The sequence below is a fragment of the Homo sapiens genome, chromosome 16 (assembly GCF_000001405.40).
Source record: "Homo sapiens chromosome 16, GRCh38.p14 Primary Assembly".
Lineage (NCBI taxonomy): Eukaryota > Metazoa > Chordata > Mammalia > Primates > Hominidae > Homo > Homo sapiens.
In genome coordinates this window covers 11,771,066-11,790,452 of record NC_000016.10, presented here as the reverse complement: position 1 = coordinate 11,790,452, position 19,387 = coordinate 11,771,066, and the positions used below count along the sequence as shown (strand labels likewise).

The 19,387-nt window shown below is 43.0% G+C and overlaps 1 protein-coding gene across 7 annotated transcripts in view, besides 2 other annotated features; it reads left to right on the top strand.

Moving 5' to 3' along the window:
- ZC3H7A (zinc finger CCCH-type containing 7A) overlaps positions 1 to 19,387 on the top strand; it is a 46,662-nt gene that overhangs the window by 6,806 nt on the left and 20,469 nt on the right. For 4 of the 7 annotated variants that reach the window (NM_014153.4, XM_011522463.3, XM_047433996.1 and 1 more), the window contains 8 exons: positions 8,065 to 8,166; positions 8,989 to 9,028; positions 11,090 to 11,287; positions 13,544 to 13,702; positions 13,921 to 14,001; positions 14,095 to 14,133; positions 15,440 to 15,473; positions 15,934 to 16,217. In NM_014153.4, the coding sequence (NP_054872.2) occupies positions 8,099 to 8,166; positions 8,989 to 9,028; positions 11,090 to 11,287; positions 13,544 to 13,702; positions 13,921 to 14,001; positions 14,095 to 14,133; positions 15,440 to 15,473; positions 15,934 to 16,217 (903 nt within the window). In that variant the 5' untranslated portion in view covers positions 8,065 to 8,098. Of the gene's footprint in view, positions 1 to 6,817; positions 7,590 to 8,064; positions 8,167 to 8,988; positions 9,046 to 11,089; positions 11,288 to 13,543; positions 13,703 to 13,920; positions 14,002 to 14,094; positions 14,134 to 14,499; positions 15,047 to 15,439; positions 15,474 to 15,933; positions 16,218 to 19,387 lie in introns of those variants that run through there. The other 3 variants (XM_006720877.3, XM_017023174.2, XM_011522464.3) reach the window with 3 other exon arrangements.
- Positions 2,010 to 2,269: an enhancer, noted in NCBI's record as "active region_10459". NCBI's record gives its function as "activates an Ori minimal core promoter by ATAC-STARR-seq in GM12878 lymphoblastoid cells {active_cell/tissue: GM12878}" and the evidence as "EXISTENCE:reporter gene assay evidence [ECO:0000049][PMID:35858748]".
- Positions 6,716 to 6,775: an enhancer, noted in NCBI's record as "active region_10458". NCBI's record gives its function as "activates an Ori minimal core promoter by ATAC-STARR-seq in GM12878 lymphoblastoid cells {active_cell/tissue: GM12878}" and the evidence as "EXISTENCE:reporter gene assay evidence [ECO:0000049][PMID:35858748]".

Sequence of the window (19,387 nt, the reverse complement as noted above, 5' to 3'; positions counted from 1 at the left end):
GGACTATTTTCCTCAACATATAAAGAGCTTCCATAAATAAGTAAAGCTCAGCCTGGAAGAAAAATGAGCAGAGGGTATGAGCAAACAATTCACAGACAAGGAAGTACAGATGATTCTTAAATTTGAAAGGACGCTGAGCCTTGCTAATGATAGATTAAAACAAACATGGCCTCATCACATTGCCACACTGTTTCTCACTTTTTTGGTTCACAAGGATGCACACATTTGATGCCTGGGTGAAGTGGGGAACCAGGAATCCTCTGCATTGTTGGTGGGAGAATCATTTGGTGTATTGTGTCAATAGCTGGCAAAATAAACAAATACATATGCCCTTTATCCTTTAGAAATTCTTTTTTTTTTTTTTTTTTTTTTTGAGATGGAGTCTCACTCTGTGGTTCAGGTGGAATGCAGTGGCATGATCTTTGCTCGCTGCAGCCTGCACCTCCCGGGTTCTAGCTATTCTCCTGCCTTAGCGTCTCGAGTAGCTGGGATTACAGGTGTATGCCTCCACACCCGGTTAATTTTTGTATTTTTAGTAGAGATGGGGTTTCACCATGTTGGCTGGGCTGGTCTGGAACTCCTGACTTCAAGTGATCTGCCTGCCTCGGCCTCCCAAAGTGCTGGGATTACAGGTGTGAGCCACCATGGCTGGCCTATCCTATAAAAGTTCTTTAAAGGGATACTTAGATGTGTATGAAATGCCCTGTGTACATGGTGACCTTTAAAGATTGGAAACAACCAGAAGGTCCATCACCAGAGGCCTGGTAAAATTATGGTACAACCATATCATGGAACGCTGTGTGTTTTGAAAACGAACACACTGATTAGATACTACATAAAGACAGTGGGGTACAGAACTCACTGGTAGCTCCAGTTTGAATAAAAAAGAACATATGCACGGCCGGGCGCAGTGGCTCATGCCTGTTATTCCAGCACTTTGGGAGGCCAAGGCAGGCCGATCACCTGAGGTCAGGAGTTCAAGACCAGCCTGGCCAACATGGTGAAACCCCATCTCTACAAAAATACAAAAATTAGCCAGGCCTGGTGACGTGCGCCTGTAATCCCAGCTACTTGGGAGGCTGAGGCAGTAGAATTGCTTGAACCCAGGAAGCGGAGGCTGGAGATTGTGCCATTGCACTCCAGCCTGGGTGACAGAGCGAGAGTTTGTCTCAAAAAAAAAATAAAAACAAACAAACATATACACAGAATACTTTTACCTTTTTATTTTGAAATAATTATAGACTCACAGGAAGTTTCAAAAGTAGTACATGGAGTCCCATGAACCCTTCACCCCCTCTTCCTTCAATGGTGACATATAACTGTAGCACACTGTCACAACCAGGAAATTGACATTAGTATAATACTGTTAACCAAACTATGGGCCTCACTGGGTTTTAAGCAGCACTTGTGTGTGTGTGGTTGTGCGTGCCTGTGTGTGTATGTGTGTGTGTGTAGTATTATGCAGTTTTATCCCATGCATAAATTCATGTAACCACTCCCACAATCAAGATACAGAATCGTTCTATAGAATATCTTTGTGAGGCCGAGCGTGGTGGCTCACGCCTGTAATCCCAGCACTTTGGGAGGCTGAGGCAGGCAGATCACGAGGTCAGGAGTTCGAGACCAGCCTGACCAACATGGTGAAACCCCATCTCTACTAAAAATACAAAAATTAGCTGGGTGTGCTGGTGCGTACCTGTAACCCCAGATACTGGGGCGGCTGAGGCAGGATAATCGCTTGAACCCAGGAGGCGGAGGTTGTATTGAGCCGAGATCACGCCACTACACTCCAGCCTGGGCAACAGAGGGAGACTGCGTCTCAAAAAAAAAAAAAAAGAAAGAAAAAAAAGAAAGCAATATATTTGTCTGGACTTTTCTGAGACTGGTAACAGTGGTTGGTGGCCCTCCAGGAGGGCAAACGGGCGGAAGGGCAAATGGGTGGCTAAGTGATAGGATGGGAAGGAGACATTCCTTTTCACTGTCATGTTAAAATGAACAGTTTAGGATGTCTGTGAGAAATTCAAATGGAACTGTCAAACAGGCCAGAGGGTCTGCCTGGGGATGGACGTGAGAGTTGTCATGGGGCCCTAGATGAGGGCATTTGACATCTGATGGAGGGAGGACCTCTATGGGAGAGTATGGCTCGGGGAGATCTCAAGAGTGGGTCCTCAGGGCTCTCAAGGTGAGAGGTCTGTGGAGATGGAGCCTCAGCTTGCAGGAGACAGAGTGGCCTGTGAGGTGGGGACAGACCTAGCCCAGGCTGTGAGGTGGAAGTTGAAGGGAGGGGCCCCTGGGAGGGAGTGCTGCTGAGACTGAGTAAGAAAAGAGACTGTTGGGTTAACTTTGTAAAATTCTTTCTTTCTTTAAAATTGAGGCTAGATTTTAACAGTATCCAAAAATAAGATAGTATATTTTTAAACGTCTTTTTCTTTCTTTAAAAAAAGGAGTATGGGGCTGGACGAGGGGGCTCACACCTGTAATCCCTGTGCTTTTTTTTTTTTCTTTGGAAACGAAGTCTTGCTCTTGTCCCCCAGGCTGGAGTGCAATGACGCGATCTTGGCTCAGTGCAACCTCTGCCTCCTGGGTTCAAACGATTCTCCTGCCTCAGCCTTCCGAGTAGCTGGGATTACAGGCACCTGCCACCATGCCCGGCTAATGTTTGTATTTTTAGTAGAGACGGGGTTTCACCACGTTGGCCAGGCTGGTCTCGAACTCCTGACCTCAGGTGATCTGCCCGCCTCGGCCTCCCAAAGTGCTGGGATTACAGACGTGAGCCACTGTGCCTGGCCAGTCCCTGTGCTTTTAATCCCTGTGAAATTAAAAAAATTAGCTGAGCATGGTGGCACACTTGTAGTCTCAGCTACTCAGGAGGCTGATGAGGGAGGATCGCTTGAGACCGGAAGTTTAAGGTTGCAATGAGCTGTGATCACACCACTGTACTCTAGCCTGGATGACAGGGTAAGACCTTGTGTCAAAAACAAAACAAAACAAAAACACACACACAAAGGGGTGTGTGTTGGGGGGAGATTATTTCACAGGTAAAACTAATCAATGGTGAGGAAAAAAGAAATTACAGTAGTGGTTTGGGGAAGGGGCATGAAGGAACTTTGTAGAGTGACAGTTAATGGTCTATATCTTTTCTTTATTTAAGAGACAAGATCTTGTTCTGTTGCCCAGGTTGGGTTGTAGTGGCGCGGTCAGCAGCTCACTGCAGCCTCCAACTCCTGGGCTTAATCAGTCCTCTTGCCTTAGCCTCCTGAGTAGCTAGGACTACAGGCACGTACCACCACACCTGGCTTAATTTTTTGTAGAGATGGGGTCTCTCCATCTTGCCCAGGCTGGTTTCATACTCCTGGGCTCAAATGATCCTCCTGCCTTGGCCTCCCAAGGTGCTGATCTATATCCTGATAGGGCTCTGGGTCACATGAGTTTGTCAAAACTCACATTAAGATTTGCGTGTTTTACCTTAAAAAACAAAACTGTAAACAAATATTGATCTCTACTTAATTGTGTGTGTGCTGAGATGTTTAGGTATCTGCAGCTGACTTTGAAATTTATTAAAACAGTAAGACGGACTGATGAATGAACAGAAGGATGAGCAGATAGATAAAGATGGGCAGATGTGATCTCACAAAATATTAATTGTGGGTTTGGGCATACAGTATTATAATTGTTTTTAACTTTACTGTGTGTTTGAGAACTTTCAAAATAAAAGTTTTTGGGGAAACTTAAAAAACTACTGAACATGAAATACTCTGTCATATTATATTCAAATATTGCCTGATATTGTGATCCTAGATCTATAAACAGCTAAAGGGGTGTATTTTGTGCATTAAAAACGTCTGTATCCATTTTCCGTTTCCTTTCAATCACTTACTTGTGGTGTCAGCTCTTTGCCACACGCCTTTTGTGTATAAGGTTGAGGTTCAAGGTTCTCTAACACTTTCTGGGGAAAATAGCTTTAAGGCTATAAACTTGGCAGATATCACTACCCAGGAGTCCATTCTTAGCCAGCAGATTAACTTTTTGAGTCAACCTCAAACCAATTCCCTACCTTGGCTAGATAGAGGCTGAGAGAAAGGTACATCATTCACTGAACTGTGTGGCCATCGTCCTGGTTTCAGACATCCTTTTCTTTTGTTCCCTCCCTCTGGCCTGACTGCTCTGGCATCCTGCATACTACTCTGGGTTCCTCTGAACTCTAAAGTTCGAACTCTAAGTAAATTGCCCTGTTTTAGCTAAAACAAACAAAAGCCCGGTGGTCCCTTAAGTCATCTTTCCAAGGAAGGGCTCAGAGGATACATAAACTTTAAAAATTTGTTTAATTTTTGTACAGAGGTAATTCATTTACGTGGCTCCAAATAAAACAAAAGTTTTGAACACATAGATTGAAAAGACCTCGTCCTACCCCTTTTCCAGCCTCAGTCTTCTACTACTGCTGTAGTCTCCCATGATTCCATCTGGGACTATTTTATGTTTACACAAGCATATGTCAATATATATACCTACCCGTCACTTTAAAAAAACACAAAACGGCCAGGCGCGGTGGCTCACGCCTGTAATCCCAGCACTTTGGGAGGCCTAGGTGAGCAGATCATGAGGTCAGGAGATCGAGACCATCCTGGCTAACGCGGTGAAACCCTATCTCTACTAAAAATACAAAAAAGTAGCCGGGCGTGGTGGCGGGCGCCTGTAGTCCCAGCTACTCGGGAGGCTGAGGCAGGAGAATGGTGTGATGCCGGGAGGCGGAGGTTGCAGTGAGCAGAGATCGTGCCACTGCACTCCAGCCTGCGTGACAAGTGAGACTCTGTCTCAAAAAACAAAACAAAACAAAATGGGTCATATGGATACTTAAATGCCTCATCTTTTTTTTTTTTCCTATAATTTCTTCAGGCATTTCCTTTTTGATAGACACTGGGTTAGTTTTTTTAAAAAAATATTATTTTTGAGACAGGGTCTCACTCTCTTGCCCAGGCGGGAGTGCAGTGGCACAATCGTAGCTCACTACAGCCCTGACCTCATGGGTTCAAGCCATCCTCCTGCCTCCATCATCTGAGTAGCTGGGACTACTGGTACGCACCACCACACCCGGTTGCTTTTTTTTTTATTTTTTCGAGGCAAGGTCTCACTCTGTCACCCAGGCTGGAGTGCACTGGCATGATTGTAGCTCACTGCAACCTCGACCTCACAGGCTCTATCAGTCCTCCCAACTCAGCCTCCTGAGTAGCTGGGACTACAGGTGCATGCCACCATGCCTGGCTAATCTTTGTTATTTTTGTTTATTTATTTATTTTGAGATGGAATTTCACTCTTGTTGCTCAGGCTGGAGTGCAGTGGCACCATCTCGGCTCACTGCAACCTCCGCCTCCCGGGTTGAAGCGATTCTCCTGCCCCAGCCTCCGTAGTAGCTGGGATTATAGGCATGTGCCACCACGCCCGGCTAATTCTGTATTTTTAGTAGAGATGGGGTTTCCCCATGTTGGCCAGGCTGGTCTGGAACTCCTGACCTCAGGTGATCTGCCCACCTCAGCCTCCCAAAGTGCTGGGATTACAGGCATGAGCCACCATGCCCTGCCAATTTTTTTTTTTTTTTTTTTTGAGATGGAGTGTCACTCTTGTTGCCCAGGCTGGAGTGCAATGACGTGATCTTGGCTCACTGCAACCTCCGCCTCCCAGGTTCAAGTGATTCTCCTGCCTCAGCCTCCCAAATAGCTGGGATTACAGGCATGCACCACCATGCCCAGCTAATTTTGTATTTTCAGTAGAGGTGGGGTTTCTCCATATTGGTCAGGCTGCTCTGGAACTCCTGACCTTGGGTGATCCACTCGCCTCGGCCTCTCAAAGTGCTGGATTACAGGCGCGAGCCACTGCGCCCGGCCTCTTTTAAAATTTTTTGTAGAGATAGGGGGTCTCCCTGTGTTGCCCAGGTTGGTCTTGAACTCCTAGGCTCAAGTGATCTTCCTGCCTTTGCCTCCCAAAGTGCTGGGATTACAGGTGTGAGCTACCATGAGTGGCCTGAGTTAATTTAAAAAATCTTTTTCTTTTACAAATAGTGCTTCCTTAAATTATTTTGTACATATAAATTTTTAGAAAACATTTATAAATTAAAAAAATATATAAATTTTTTTAAAAAAGCATTTCTATTAAGGACATGGGCCAACATGTCCAAGTAGCTAGAAGGGTGGAATGAGCTTCCATGCCCCTCATCCAGCTGGAACCATTATCCATATTTTTGGCATTCTTGTTTTATTTCCACCCAGCTACCCCCCTTTTGGCTAAACTGTTTTAAAAGCACATTCCAGAAATAGTGCCATTTTACTCTAGTGTCATGGACTTCTTAAACTTCTTATTTTGTAATGTTTCAAACACATACAAAGTCCAGAGAATAGTACTGAAGAATCCCCTGCACTTCTCACCCTCCCCTGGTTATCAGCATTCTGCTGTTTCCTCCCCACCTCACAGCCCCCCCCTTTTTTGTTGTTACTGGAGTATTTTAAAGCAAGTCCCCTATGTCATATCCTTTCCCATGTAAACACTTCAGTAAAGTACCAACTTTATAGGACAAAAATATTGAGAACTGACGGTGTTTCAAAGAAGAAAGGGTTTAGCACCAGTTATCAGCATTTGGGACATTCCAACCCCCATCTCACCCTTATACTTTGAAAAAAATGAGATTTAAAAATAAAACTGTAAATGCCAAGCAATAATGAAACTAAAAAATTTCAGCAATGTACTTCAAACATGAGTGGAATTTCCCTTCCTGTCACCTGGGTCCAAATACGTGGTTTATGTGTAAGATGTTGTCTTAACTTTAGGTCTCAGTTGTTCTCAACTGGGGCTGATTGTGCTTTCCCCACCCTGACATTTAACGATATCTGGAGACACTTTTGGTTGTGAGTGGGGTTGGGGTGAGGGGCTACAGGCATAGTGGGTAGAGGCAGAAATACTGCCAATGTCCTGCAATCACAAGACAAGGAATTAGCTAGCCCAGAATGCCAAGCCTGAGGAACTCTAGTTTGGGCCACTGGGAGATGATGTTTTATCTCAGATCTCTTCTCTGTGGCTCTCCTTGAACTTGGGGAACTGCTCGGTGAACGTTGATTAGTGGAGGTGGGGCCCAAAAGAATGATATGTGTTGACATTTGCAAGTGTTATATTGAGGATAACATTTTAATATCCAGAAAATTCCAATGGAAGTAACTTTATATCATTATTTTATCTGTTGTATCAACAATAATCATTTTGGAAGTTTGTGGGACAAAATATGTATAAGGTTTAAACTTGGCTTACAAGGAAGTCAGACTCCCTCGGAGGCAAGCGGATGTGAAACCTTTTTATTTCTGGAGAGCTTCCAGAAGCAAAACAAGGCTGGAACTGTTCTAGGGACAGCTTATGCGTGCGTGTAGACAGGGAAAAACAAAACCTGAAGCCAAAGGAGGGAAGAGGAAAGGAAGGGGAGACATGACTTTTTCCTGGAGACTGCTCAGGAGGGGTATACAAAGTCTGCATAGCCATTCAGCCTTAAAGAATGTGAAAACTGGCCAGGCGCTGTGGCTCACACCTATAATCCCACACTTTGGGAGGCCGAGGTAGGTGGATCACTTGAGGTCACGAGTTCGAGACCAGCTTGACCAGTAAGGTGAAACCCTGTCTCTCCTAAAAATACAAAAATTAGCCAGGCGTGGTCGCAGGCATCTGAGTCCCAGCCACTCAGGAGGCTGAGACAGGAGAATTGCTTGAACCCTGGAGGTGAAGTTTGCAGTGAGCCGAGATCGCGAGATCGCGCCACTGCACTCCAGCCTGGGCAATGGAGCGAGACTCCGTCTCAAAAAAAAAAAAAAAAAAAAAAAAGAATATGAAAACGGTGTGCTTATGGTGTGCCGGACCACAGGGGAGCCACAAAGATGACTCCTGTACGGTCCCTGCCGTCCAGGACCCTGGAGTCAAGTCAGAAATGGATGTGTCCACAGCTGATTGTGTGACAAGGTCTGGATTTGTGGGTGTTTTCATTGGAGTCCAGGGACCCTGGTACCTTATGTGCTTTTTTGCCTTGTTTCTTTCCAGATTGCTCATTTAGAAAGTGGATGTGTGGGATAACATGTCCAATGTGTCCGAGGAGAGAAGAAAAAGGCAGCAGAACATTAAGGAAGGACTGCAGTTTATACAGTAAGAGCTTCAGAGTTCTTGTGTTCTTGCCGCGTCCTAATTCTTTGGTGTGGATGTATGTTTTGTGGAGAGGAAGAACTCTTTAGTCATGTTTAATAGGTCCAGTTAATTTGGGTTAGAAACTCCATATTCTAGCAATATTTTTTTCTTTTGTCCATTTGAACATTCTTGCATTCGGAAGCAAGTGTTACTTTTGCTGGCTTTTAGGGCTACAATTGTTAGTCTCCCCCAAAACGTTAGACTGAGAAATTTGAATTTGTTCTATGAACAGTGCTGCTGAGTGGAAAGTGACTGAAAATGAACATCTGGCGGCACAGAGGGCTTCTGTGATCAGACGTGTCTGTTCAGAAGCTCAGTGTTTAATTGGACTTCTTGAAGCATGTCAATGATGAGACAGCTGTGGTTTGGATGGACATGTCCGGGCAGAAGGGCCTCTTTGTTCCTTCCTGGGAAGGAGACATTCTCTCTATACTGCAGTAAATTGGATCAAATATTGTTAGTGGCTCTGTACTATTTTTAACCTCTTTTTTGGCAGTTGAAGAATTAGGGTTTTTAAAAAATAGAAGTAGGTTTGAAAGTAAAGTGTTGTACTTAAAAAATACTAAGGAATAGTATATATATATATATATATATATGTATATGTATTTTTTTTCCCATAACTGTAGTCATCTGTGAATAATGGTAGTAAAGGAGGAGGAAGTCTTTGAAATATGCCTTGAACCAGTGGCAAGCTAATGGAACCACAGATTTAAGATGACTTCTGGCTGAACAGGTCCCGATAAGGAGCTTGATAATTACAGTTAATTTGTTTCTTCTTCTTAGGTCACCGCTGTCATATCCAGGAACACAGGAGCAATATGCGGTAATGACTCCGGGAAGGTCTGCTTGAAAGCTCTGCAAGTGGCTTGTGAACTGTAATTTGTAGCAGGGGTTGGCAAATGATGGCCTTGTGGGCCCAATCTGGCCTGCTGTCCTTTTATTTTATTTTATTTTATTTTATTTTTTTGCAAATAAAGCTTTATTGGAACACAGCCACACTCATTTGTTTATGTATTATCTGTGGCTGCTTTTGCAACATATGGTAGTTTTGACAGAGACCATATGGCCCATGGAGCCTAAAACATGTACTGTCTGGGCATTTGCAGAAAAAGTTTGCCAACCCCTTCTATATAGGACTTTTTTTTTCTTTTTCTTTTTCTTTTTTTGCATACTTGCACAGTTGCCCTGTATTTTCTTTCCTCTATTAGGGTGGTTTTGAATTAATTTATCTTTTGAGCCACTTGAAAATTACTTCTCATGTCATTGAAAATAAGTGGGACAGAATTTATTGAGAAAGAGTGTGTGGAACATTTTTTTCTGTTAGGAGATGTTCTGACAGCAGCTAAGGGGGACTGGATACCAAGAGGGAAGAACTAGTGATCTGCTGTTTAGGAACAGGGAGAAAGCCCAGTTTATTGGGACTTTGACTGCAGACTCTTGTCTCTACTAACTATTGGTTCACCTGTGTTTTTTTTCCTCTGAGGGTTTTGAGGCTTCTAAATGTCACTTTCTTGCTGCCTCTCTCCCTCCTCCCCTTTTCTTCTCTCTTGTTCCTTAGCTCTCTACAAACAGATTTGGAATAAAAAAGTATTAGAGCCAGAAATAAACTGTAACAGTTGTTTCATTTTGCACGTGGACCTGGGGTCTAAAGATGTTAAGTGGCATGTCACGAGTTTTGTTAATAGTTGATCCGTCCAGTCTTCTAAAATAATTTAATCAGCTAAAATAATTTAATCAGCTTAGACAGGAATTCATAAAATGAGACAAAACAAGTTGAATATTTTTCTGATCTTGTGATGAAAAAGAGCTTTTAAAATACTAAATTATGGCCAGGCGTGGTGGCTCACACCTGTAATCCCAGCATTTTCGGAGGCTGAAGCAGGCGGATCACTTGAGACCAGGAGTTTGAGACCAGCCTGGGCAACATGGCGAAACCCTGTCTCTACTAAAAATACAAAAATTAGCCGAGTGTGGTGGCAGGTGCCTGTAATCCCAGCTACTCGGGAGGCTAAGACACGAGAATCACTTGAACTCAGGAGGTGAAGTCGCAGAGAGCCGAGATCGTGCCACTGCACTCCAGCCTGGGTGCCAGAGTAAGACTCTGTCTCAAAAAAAAAAAAGAAAAGAAAAAAAAGAACTAAACTAAAGCGTGATAGAAATAATGAAGGAAAATGACAAACTTTTATACATGCTAAAAGAATGTGTATACTTACTTGATAAGAAAAAAGTTTAACATCCCCCTCCCCCCAAATCAGTAAATGACCTGAGCAATTTACAGAAAAAGAAATACAAGGGGTCCGTAAAAATGTGGAATAGTTCAACTTCACTGGTAAAGACATGCACATACAAAGAGGATACCATTAAAAAAAATAAATAAACACAAAACGATACCATTTTCCACCTAGAAATTGGTAGATTTTACATATATGTGCACGGGTACCCACACACGTGTACACACACACACACTACCTAGTGTGTATGGGTGCTATAAAGTAAACCACTAGAAACATTTTTCATCATGGCCTTTTTGGAAGGCAATTTGGAAATACTGCTCAAAAGCCTTAAACTATTCATTCTCTTTGACTTGGGGCTTCCACTTGGTTTCTCTAGCGGGCACAGAATTGGAGATGTGAACAAATATTTATAAGGTACTTTGCTGCATTTTTCTTAATAGTGAGAAATTGAATTTCCCCTTGAAAAAGCAAGCAAGATTCAATCCCTAGCTGAGATAGCAGTGACTTGGGCTGCATCTCACAATTTCTTAGAGCAATGCTGCTGTTCTGTCACATTGTTTCCTGTGAAGTTTTAGGTATAAAAATTAAAATTTACTTATACCATATCTTGTTTGATAAAAGGCTTCAAGTGGTAACTTTCTTTTTTTTAGGTATATTTGCGTGCTCTCGTGAGAAATCTTTTTAATGAAGGAAATGACGTTTATCGGGAACATGATTGGAACAACTCGATAAGCCAGTACACGGAAGCCTTGAATATAGCTGATTATGCAAAATCTGAAGAAATTTTAATCCCCAAAGAAATAATTGAAAAACTATATATAAATCGTATTGCCTGCTATTCTAATATGGTGAGTTGTAATTTTTAAAATGATGTTTCTAGAGTGAAAAGAATTTTTTCAATGACTTAGTACATTAATAAAAAGTCAATTTCTTAAGTTTTTAAGAAAGTCATATTACCTGCTTTTGGAGTGGCTTGAGGCTTTTAAAAATTAGCTTTGGATTGGCCGGGCACGGTGGCTCACGCCTGTAATCCCAGCACTTTGGGAGGCCAAGGTGGGTGGATCATGAGGTTAGGAGTTTGAGACCAGCCTGGCCAATATGGTGAAACCCCGTCTCTACTAAAAATAAAAAAATTAACTGGGCATGGTGGCGTGTGCATGTAGTCCCAGCTGCCCGGGAGGCTGAGGCAGGAGAATCGCTTGAACCCAGGAGGCGAAGCTTGCAGTGAGCCGAGATTGTGCCACTGCACTCCAGCCTGGGCGACAGAGCAAGACTCCGTCTCAAAAAATAAAATAAAATAAAAAAATAAAAATTAGCTTTGGACAGAAGGTTAGGGATTTAAGAAATAATTTGTTTCTTAGTTATTGGTCCTTGATGATTCCCATTTGAGTATGGCTTTTGAAGGTGTGTCTGCTTATAAAAAAGTCATCCAGGGAAGATACAGGTCTTCACAGGTCAGTGTGTCTTTCAGGTATCCCTGTTCACAGTTAACATCTTAGTCAAGATCCAGTTGATCTTGTAAAACACTCTTGGTAAAAAACACTCTTACGAGTGTTTTTTTTTTTTTTTTTTTTTTTGAGACAGTGTCTCGCTCTGTCACCCAGGCTGGAGTGCAGTGGCACGATCTCGGCTCACTGCAACCTCCGCCTCCTGGGTTCAAGCAATTTTCCTGCCTCGGCCTCCCGAGTAGCTGGGACTACAGGCGCATGCCGCCGTGCCCAGCAAATTTTTTGTATTTTGTTAGAGATGGGGTTTCACTGTGTTGCCCAGGCTGTTCTCGATCTCCTGAATTCAGGCAATCTGCCCGCCTCAGCCTCCCAAAGTGCTAGGATTACAGGCGTGAGCCACCGTGCCTGGCGAGTGTTTTTTTAAATCAAGAAATAGTAATTAGTCTTCAAAGGAATTCACACTAGATTTTCACATTTTTAAGCTTAAAAGCTTTTGAAGTGCTTTTTTTTCTTTTTTTCCTTTTAAAACTTTTTTTTTTTTTTTTGAGACAAGAGTTTCACTCTTGTTGCCCAGGCTGGAGTGCAATGGCACAATCTTGGCTCACCGTAACCTCCGTCTCCCGGGTTCAAGAGATTCTCCTGCCTCAGCTTCCCGAGTAGCTGAGATTACAGGCATGTACCACCACACCTGGCTAATTTTGTATTTTTAGTAGAGACGGGGTGTCTCCATGTCGGTCAGGCTGGTCTCGAACTCCTGACCTCAGGTGATCTGCCCGCCTCAGCCTCCCAAAGTGCTGGGATTACAGGCATGAGCCACCACGCCTGGCCACCTTTTTTAAATTTTTGAGATGGAGTGTCACTCTGTTGCCCAGGCTGTAATGCAGTGGCACAATCTCGGCTTACTGTATCCTCTGTCTCCTGGGTTCAAGTGATTTTCCTGCTTCAGCCTCCCGAGTGCTGGGATTATAGGCACCCGCCACCACGCCTGGCTAATTTTTGTATTTTTAGTAGAGATGGGGTTTTTACCATGTTGGCCAGGCTGGTCTCGAACTCCTGACCTCAGGTGATCCACCCACCTCGGCCTCCCAAAGTGCTGGGACTACAGCTGTGAGGCACTGTGCCCAACCTGAAGTGCTTTTAATTTTCACTGTGGATACTCGGTAAAATATAACCATGAATTTAAGAAAAATATCCGTGTTGTCACCTAGCTCTTTGTTAAAGAGCATTCATTGTTTATTTATTTTGTTTTGGGTAATATATTCCTTATCAGTTAGCTGTTTGGAGTTACGTTTCTGTTTGACATCTTAATGTGCTCCAGCAAAGGGTAACTACAGAGGAGCGAATAGGAGAGGGACACATGGGGACATCAGTTAGGTCTGGAAAGCTTTATTTCTTGAAGATCTGGGGACTTTCTGACCAAATATTAGCATTTGTCTGACCTGGATGGTGTGTACATGGGTATTCATGATATTCTTTCTACTTTTTTGTATTTGAAATTTCATAAAATAATTTAAAAAATAAAAGTAATACTGCTAACTTGGAGTTTAGAGGGAGGGTAATAGGATGGGGTATTAATTTGTTTTTATTACAGGAAGGCCTCAGTGCAAGAAATGAATTGTTTGATTGCTGACTTTATTCTTTGGTCTTACACACCAGGGTTTCCATGATAAAGTTTTGGAGGACTGCAATATAGTCCTCAGTTTAAATGCCAGTAACTGCAAAGCTCTGTATCGGAAATCTAAGGCTTTAAGTGATTTAGGAAGATACAAAAAGGCTTACGATGCTGTAGCAAAGTGCTCCTTAGCAGTGCCTCAGGTATGGAATTTATAGTTTATTTGTTTACATCGTAACCATTTACATCATAATAAATGGCATTTAAAGAGTTAAATTTTCCAGTCATCCATCAACCTGCTTCAGTTGGGTATAAATGCTAATGAAGCAGGTGTCTTGATGGGAAACTTCCCTGTTTTGTCTATTCTTCTTCACCATTAGTAAATATAACCCTGTTAATTATACATACTTATTTTTTTCAGGATGAGCATGTAATAAAACTAACTCAAGAACTAGCTCAGAAATTGGGATTTAAAATAAGAAAAGCGTATGTCAGAGCTGAGGTAAGCTGGAGTTCTCTGCATAAGGTGTTTTCATTTTGTTTTAGAACTTGGAGTCAGTTCTGTTTTTAAATTAGTGTCTTTATTTTATTTCAGCTCTCATTAAAATCAGTTCCTGGGGATGGGGCTACCAAGGTAAAGTTATTTTTTCTGTCAAAATTATATTTTTTTTTAAAGGGAAGGATGGGAGCAATTCTACTTTTAGTATTTTTGGTGTGTGTTTATTTTTGGAACCTTTTTAATTCCTCAAACACGTAATTGGCAATACCCTCCTGTCACTTTATTTATTTTTTTGAGACAGAGTCTTGTTCTGTTGCCCAGGCTGGAGTGCAGTGTCCTGATCTTGGCTCACTGCAACCTCCACCTCCTGGGCTCAAGTGATCCTCCCACCTCAGCCTCCCGAGTAGCTGGGACCACAGGCACACACCACCATGGCCTGTTAAATTTTTGTATTTTTTGTAGCGATGGGGTTTCACCATGTTGCCCAGGCTGGCCTCAAACTCCTGAGCTCAAGTGTTCCTCCTGCCTTGGCCTCCCACCAAATGCTGGGATCACAGGCGTGAGCCATCTCTTCTGGCCTCTTCTAGTCACTTTACAAAAGAACATCTACAACTCAAGTAATATATTTTAGCTGTAACCAGCATTTCCTGAATGCTCCAGTGGGGCATTTTATAGGATGTTAATAGATGTTAGGTTTCAGTGCAATAAGAGTGGTTCAGGGCCAAATACTAGTTTTGGGAGTCATTTGTGATAAAATTAACAAAGGGTTTTTTTTTGTTTTTGTTTTTAATTTTAAAATTAAAATTTTCTTGGGGCTAATAGGATGCTAATGGCTATTGTGAGTTGGGCAATGATTGGTGGCCAAATTCATCCCTGTTATTCTGCTGAATAGCCTTTGAGAAATGCTGGTCCACGAGAAATAAGTGGCAGCACTGCTAGACCAGCACCTCACCTAACACCACATGTATACAGGTTTGCGTGTTCCATTCATTTCTTGGATCTTAATTGGGAGTTGAATTTCTGTGGAAACCTGCATTGTTCTCTTAGGGTGAGTTTTTTCTTTTTTTCTTTTTTTTTTTTTTCCAAGACAGAGTCTCGCTCTGTCACCTAGGCTGGAGTGCAGTGGCGCTATCTCAGCTCACTGCAGCCTCCACCTCCCGGGTTCAAGCAGTTCTCTTGCCTCAGCCTCCTGAGTAGCTGGGATTACAGATGCCTGCCACCATGCCTGGCTAATTTTTGTATTTTTAGTAGAGACAGGGTTTCACCATGTTGGCCAGGCTGGTCTCAAACTCCTGACCTCGTGATCTGCCTGTCTCGGCCTCCCCAGGTGCTGGGATTACAGGCGTGAGCCACTGTGCCCGGCCTAGGGTGAGTTTTACTGATTGTTTTATGGCTTAGAGTCCTGAAAATATTATAACCCATTGTTTGGTTTAATTTCTAGGCTTTGAACCATTCTGTGGAAGATATTGAGCCAGGTATGTTTTCACATATCATCTTAACAATTTGAATAGTGCCAGCTTTGTACCTGATGTCTTTGTATGTGATGTATTGTCAAATAATATCGCTGTGTGGTTATATTCATATTAATGTATTAATATGAAAGTGAAAATGATTTCCAATGCTCCCTTTGTGCCTTTGGATGTGCCAGTGAGTGACTGAAAAGTGTTGGATGTTAGTAAGCAATCACTGACACCCACTGTGGCCTTGCCACTGTCTGATAGCTGTGCCCAAAGAGAGATACAGGCATTTTGTGAAAGAAGGATAAGTTTTCACACGTGACTGTATCTGTTTGGAATTGCTTTACTATACTGTCAATTTTATTATTTTTATAATTGCCTTCATATTTTCATCTTTGTATCTCTATTATTGGGGATTAATGGTATTATTATGTAAGTACGATGAAAGTGACTGAGTACATTTCCATCTGTGTTACAGATTTATTAACTCCAAGGCAAGAAGCAGTTCCTGTTGTCTCTTTACCGGCACCCAGTTTTTCTCATGAAGTTGGAAGTGAGCTGGCCTCAGTTCCTGTTATGCCCTTAACTTCTATTTTGCCACTACAAGTGGAAGAGAGCGCTCTGCCATCTGCAGTGCTGGCAAATGGAGGAAAGATGCCCTTCACTATGCCAGAAGCTTTTCTAGATGATGGAGATATGGTCCTTGGAGATGAACTAGATGACCTGCTTGATTCTGCACCTGAAACTAATGAAACTGTTATGGTAAGTTTCAGTGTTACTCAAGTTTCTTCTGAAGACAGAGTTAACTTTTTAAAAATTGTAATATAACTTGATAGACTTTTTCAGTATTGCATATAGGCTGAATTTGGGGGTTTTTTTAACCTTGAAAGTTACTTTTTTTCTTCTCTACTGAAACTGGTTAATTTGATCATTTTGAAATAAAAAAAGAATGCTATCTAGTAATTAGCCAATTTTTTTCCAATTCATATTGGGATCTCATATTATGGAAAGGGCAAAGATAACATTCTGATAAAAAATAGGCGTTTGATATTTAAGAAAAAATGAATTATATAGATTAAAGACTTCTTATTCTTTTTATTTATTTATTTTTTTTTGAGACGGAGTCTTGCTCTGTTGCCCAGGCTGGAGTGCAGTGGCGCAGTCTTGGCTCACTGTAAGCTCCGCCTCCCGGGTTCACACCATTCTCCTGCCTCAGCTTCCTGAGTAGCTGGGACTACAGGCGCCCGCCACCACGCCTGGCTAATTTTTTTGTATTTTTAGTAAAGATGGGGTTTCACTGCCTTAGCCAGAATGGTCTTGATCTCCTGACCTCGTGATCCACCCGCCTCGGCCTCCCAAAGTGCTGGGATTACAAGCGTGAGCTACCATGCCCGGCCTCAGGACTTCTTATTCTTAAAGATAATCCTCTAGCAACCACATACTTTAAAGCGGGGTTCAGCCAACTGTAGCCCACAGGCTAAATCTGGCCTATTACCTGTTTTTGTATGGCTTGCAAACTAAGAATATTTTTTACAATTCTTAAATGGTTGAGAGAAGAACAAAAAAGAGAATAATATTTTGTGACATATGGAGATTATATGAAACTAGCCTGGGTAACCATAGCAAGGGCACATCTCTACAAAAAATTAAAAACAGCCTGGCATAGTGGTGCGTGCCTGTGGTCCCACTGCTTGGAAGGCTGAGGGTAGAGGATCACTTGCGCCCAGGAGGTTGAGGCTGCAGTGAGCACTGATTGTGCCATGCACTCTAGCCTGGGCAACACAGCGAGACCCTGTCTCAATCAGTCAATCAATAAAATTATATGACATTCCAATTTCTGGGTCCGTAAGTAAAGTTTTACTGGAACACATCAGTGACTATTCATTTTATGTGCTGTCTGTGGCTGCTTTTGCACTGCAACAGCATAGTTGAGTCCTTGCAACAGGGACCGTGTGGCCTACAGAGCCTAAAATACTTAGTGTCCATCCCTGTATAGAAAGCCTTTTCTGCTGGGTGCAGTGGCGCACACCTGTAATCACAGCACTTTGGGAGGCTGAGGCAGGCAGATCACCAGGAGTTCGAGACCAGCCTAGCCAGTATGGCAAAACCCTGCCTCTACCAAAAATCACAAAAATTAGCTGGGCATGGTGGTGCATATCTGTAATCGCAGCTACTTGGGTGGCTGAGGCAAGAGAATCACTTGAGCCCGGGAGGTGGAGATTGCAGTGAACCAAGATCATGCCACTGCACTCCACCCTGGGTGACAGATCAATACTCTGTCTCAAAAAAAAAAAAAAGACTTCTCTGACCCCTCCCATAAAGTAAAATAAATCAGTAGCAGCAGTGGTAGGATGATGGTGATGATAGGGAGAAATTCCGAGCTGTTTTCCAGGGGTGGTGTAATAGATGGTGTCAGTGTGCAAAAGACTGACAGAGCTGGCTTTGATTCTTACCAGCTCTGTGATACTGGGCAAGTTACTTCATCATAGTGCATCATTTTCCTCATCTGTATGATGGTGATCACAGTAGGATGTATCTGAGAGAGCTGTTTTAAGAACCAAATAGATAGCATATGATACCATAACGTAAGGTGCGTGGAAGCTCTCAGTGAGTTGCAGCTTTGATGGGGCCTGGGGAAGTTAGAGTTGTATGTTCTTGTCCAGTTGTAAGTTCACACCTCCAGAGAGGTTGTCTCAATCTTCATGGGCTTCTCCAGCTCCCGTCTCTGGATCACCTATCCTCCTGCTACACCACATATATCCCACAATTCCTCTTTAATGGTGCAAATTCTTTTTTTTTTTTTGAGACAGAGTCTCACTCTGTCGCCCAGGCTGGTGTGCAGTGGTGCGATCTTGGCTCACTGCAACCTCCACCTCCCAGGTTCAAGCAATTATCTGCCTCAACCTCCCGAGTAGCTGAGATTACAGGTGCCCGCTACCACGCCCGGCTAATTTTTTGTGTATTTTTAGTAGAGACGGGGTTTCACCATCTTGGCCAGGTTGGTCTTGAACACCTGACCTCGTGATCCACCCACCTCATCCTCCCACAGTGCTAGGATTACAGGTGTGAGCCACCATGCCCAGCCTCATATGATGCAAATTCTTATGAGCCCTGTAGTCAGGTAAGGGCAGGGAAGCATAAGGAAGTTTTGCAGATGAAACATGAATGTAACATTTGGATTATAATGTTAGACATCTAGCTGGGTGCAGTGGCTCACACCTGTAATCCCAGCACTTTGGGAGTTCTAGGCGGTTGGATCACTTCAGGTCAGGAGTTTGAGACCAGCCTGGCCAACATGGCAAAACCCCATCTCTACTAAAAATACAAAAATTAGCTGGGCGAGGTGGCGCATGCCTGTAATCCCAGCTACACAGGAGGCTGAGGCAGGAGAATCATTTGAACTCAGAAGGCGGAGGTTGCAGTGAGCCGAGATTGTGCCACTGTACTCCAGCCTGGGTGACAGAGTGAGACTCCGTCTCAAAAAAAAAAAGTTAGACATCCCACCTCAATTGTTTTTAAAAATTATTCTTGAAAAGAAGTTCTGTAGCTAAAATTGTTTTAAACGAATCTTGATTCTGATTTAAACTTTGTTTTTTTTTTTATTTTTTTGGAGATGGAGTCTTGCTCTGTCGCCCAGGCTGTAGTGCAATTGCGTGATCTTGGCTCACTGCAAGCTCCGCCTCCTGGGTTCAAGCAATTCTCCTGCCTCAGCCTCCTGAGTAGCTGGGACTACAGGCGCATGCCACCATGCACAGCCAATGTTTTGTATTTTAGTGGAGATGGAGTTTCACCGTGTTGCCCAGGCTGGTCTTGAACTCCTGAGCTCAGGCAGTCCGCCTGCCGTAGCCTCCCAAAGTGTTAGGATTACAGGCCACCATGCCTGGCCTAAACTTTGTTATGTAACGTGATCTCCCAGTGTAATAATGCTTTTA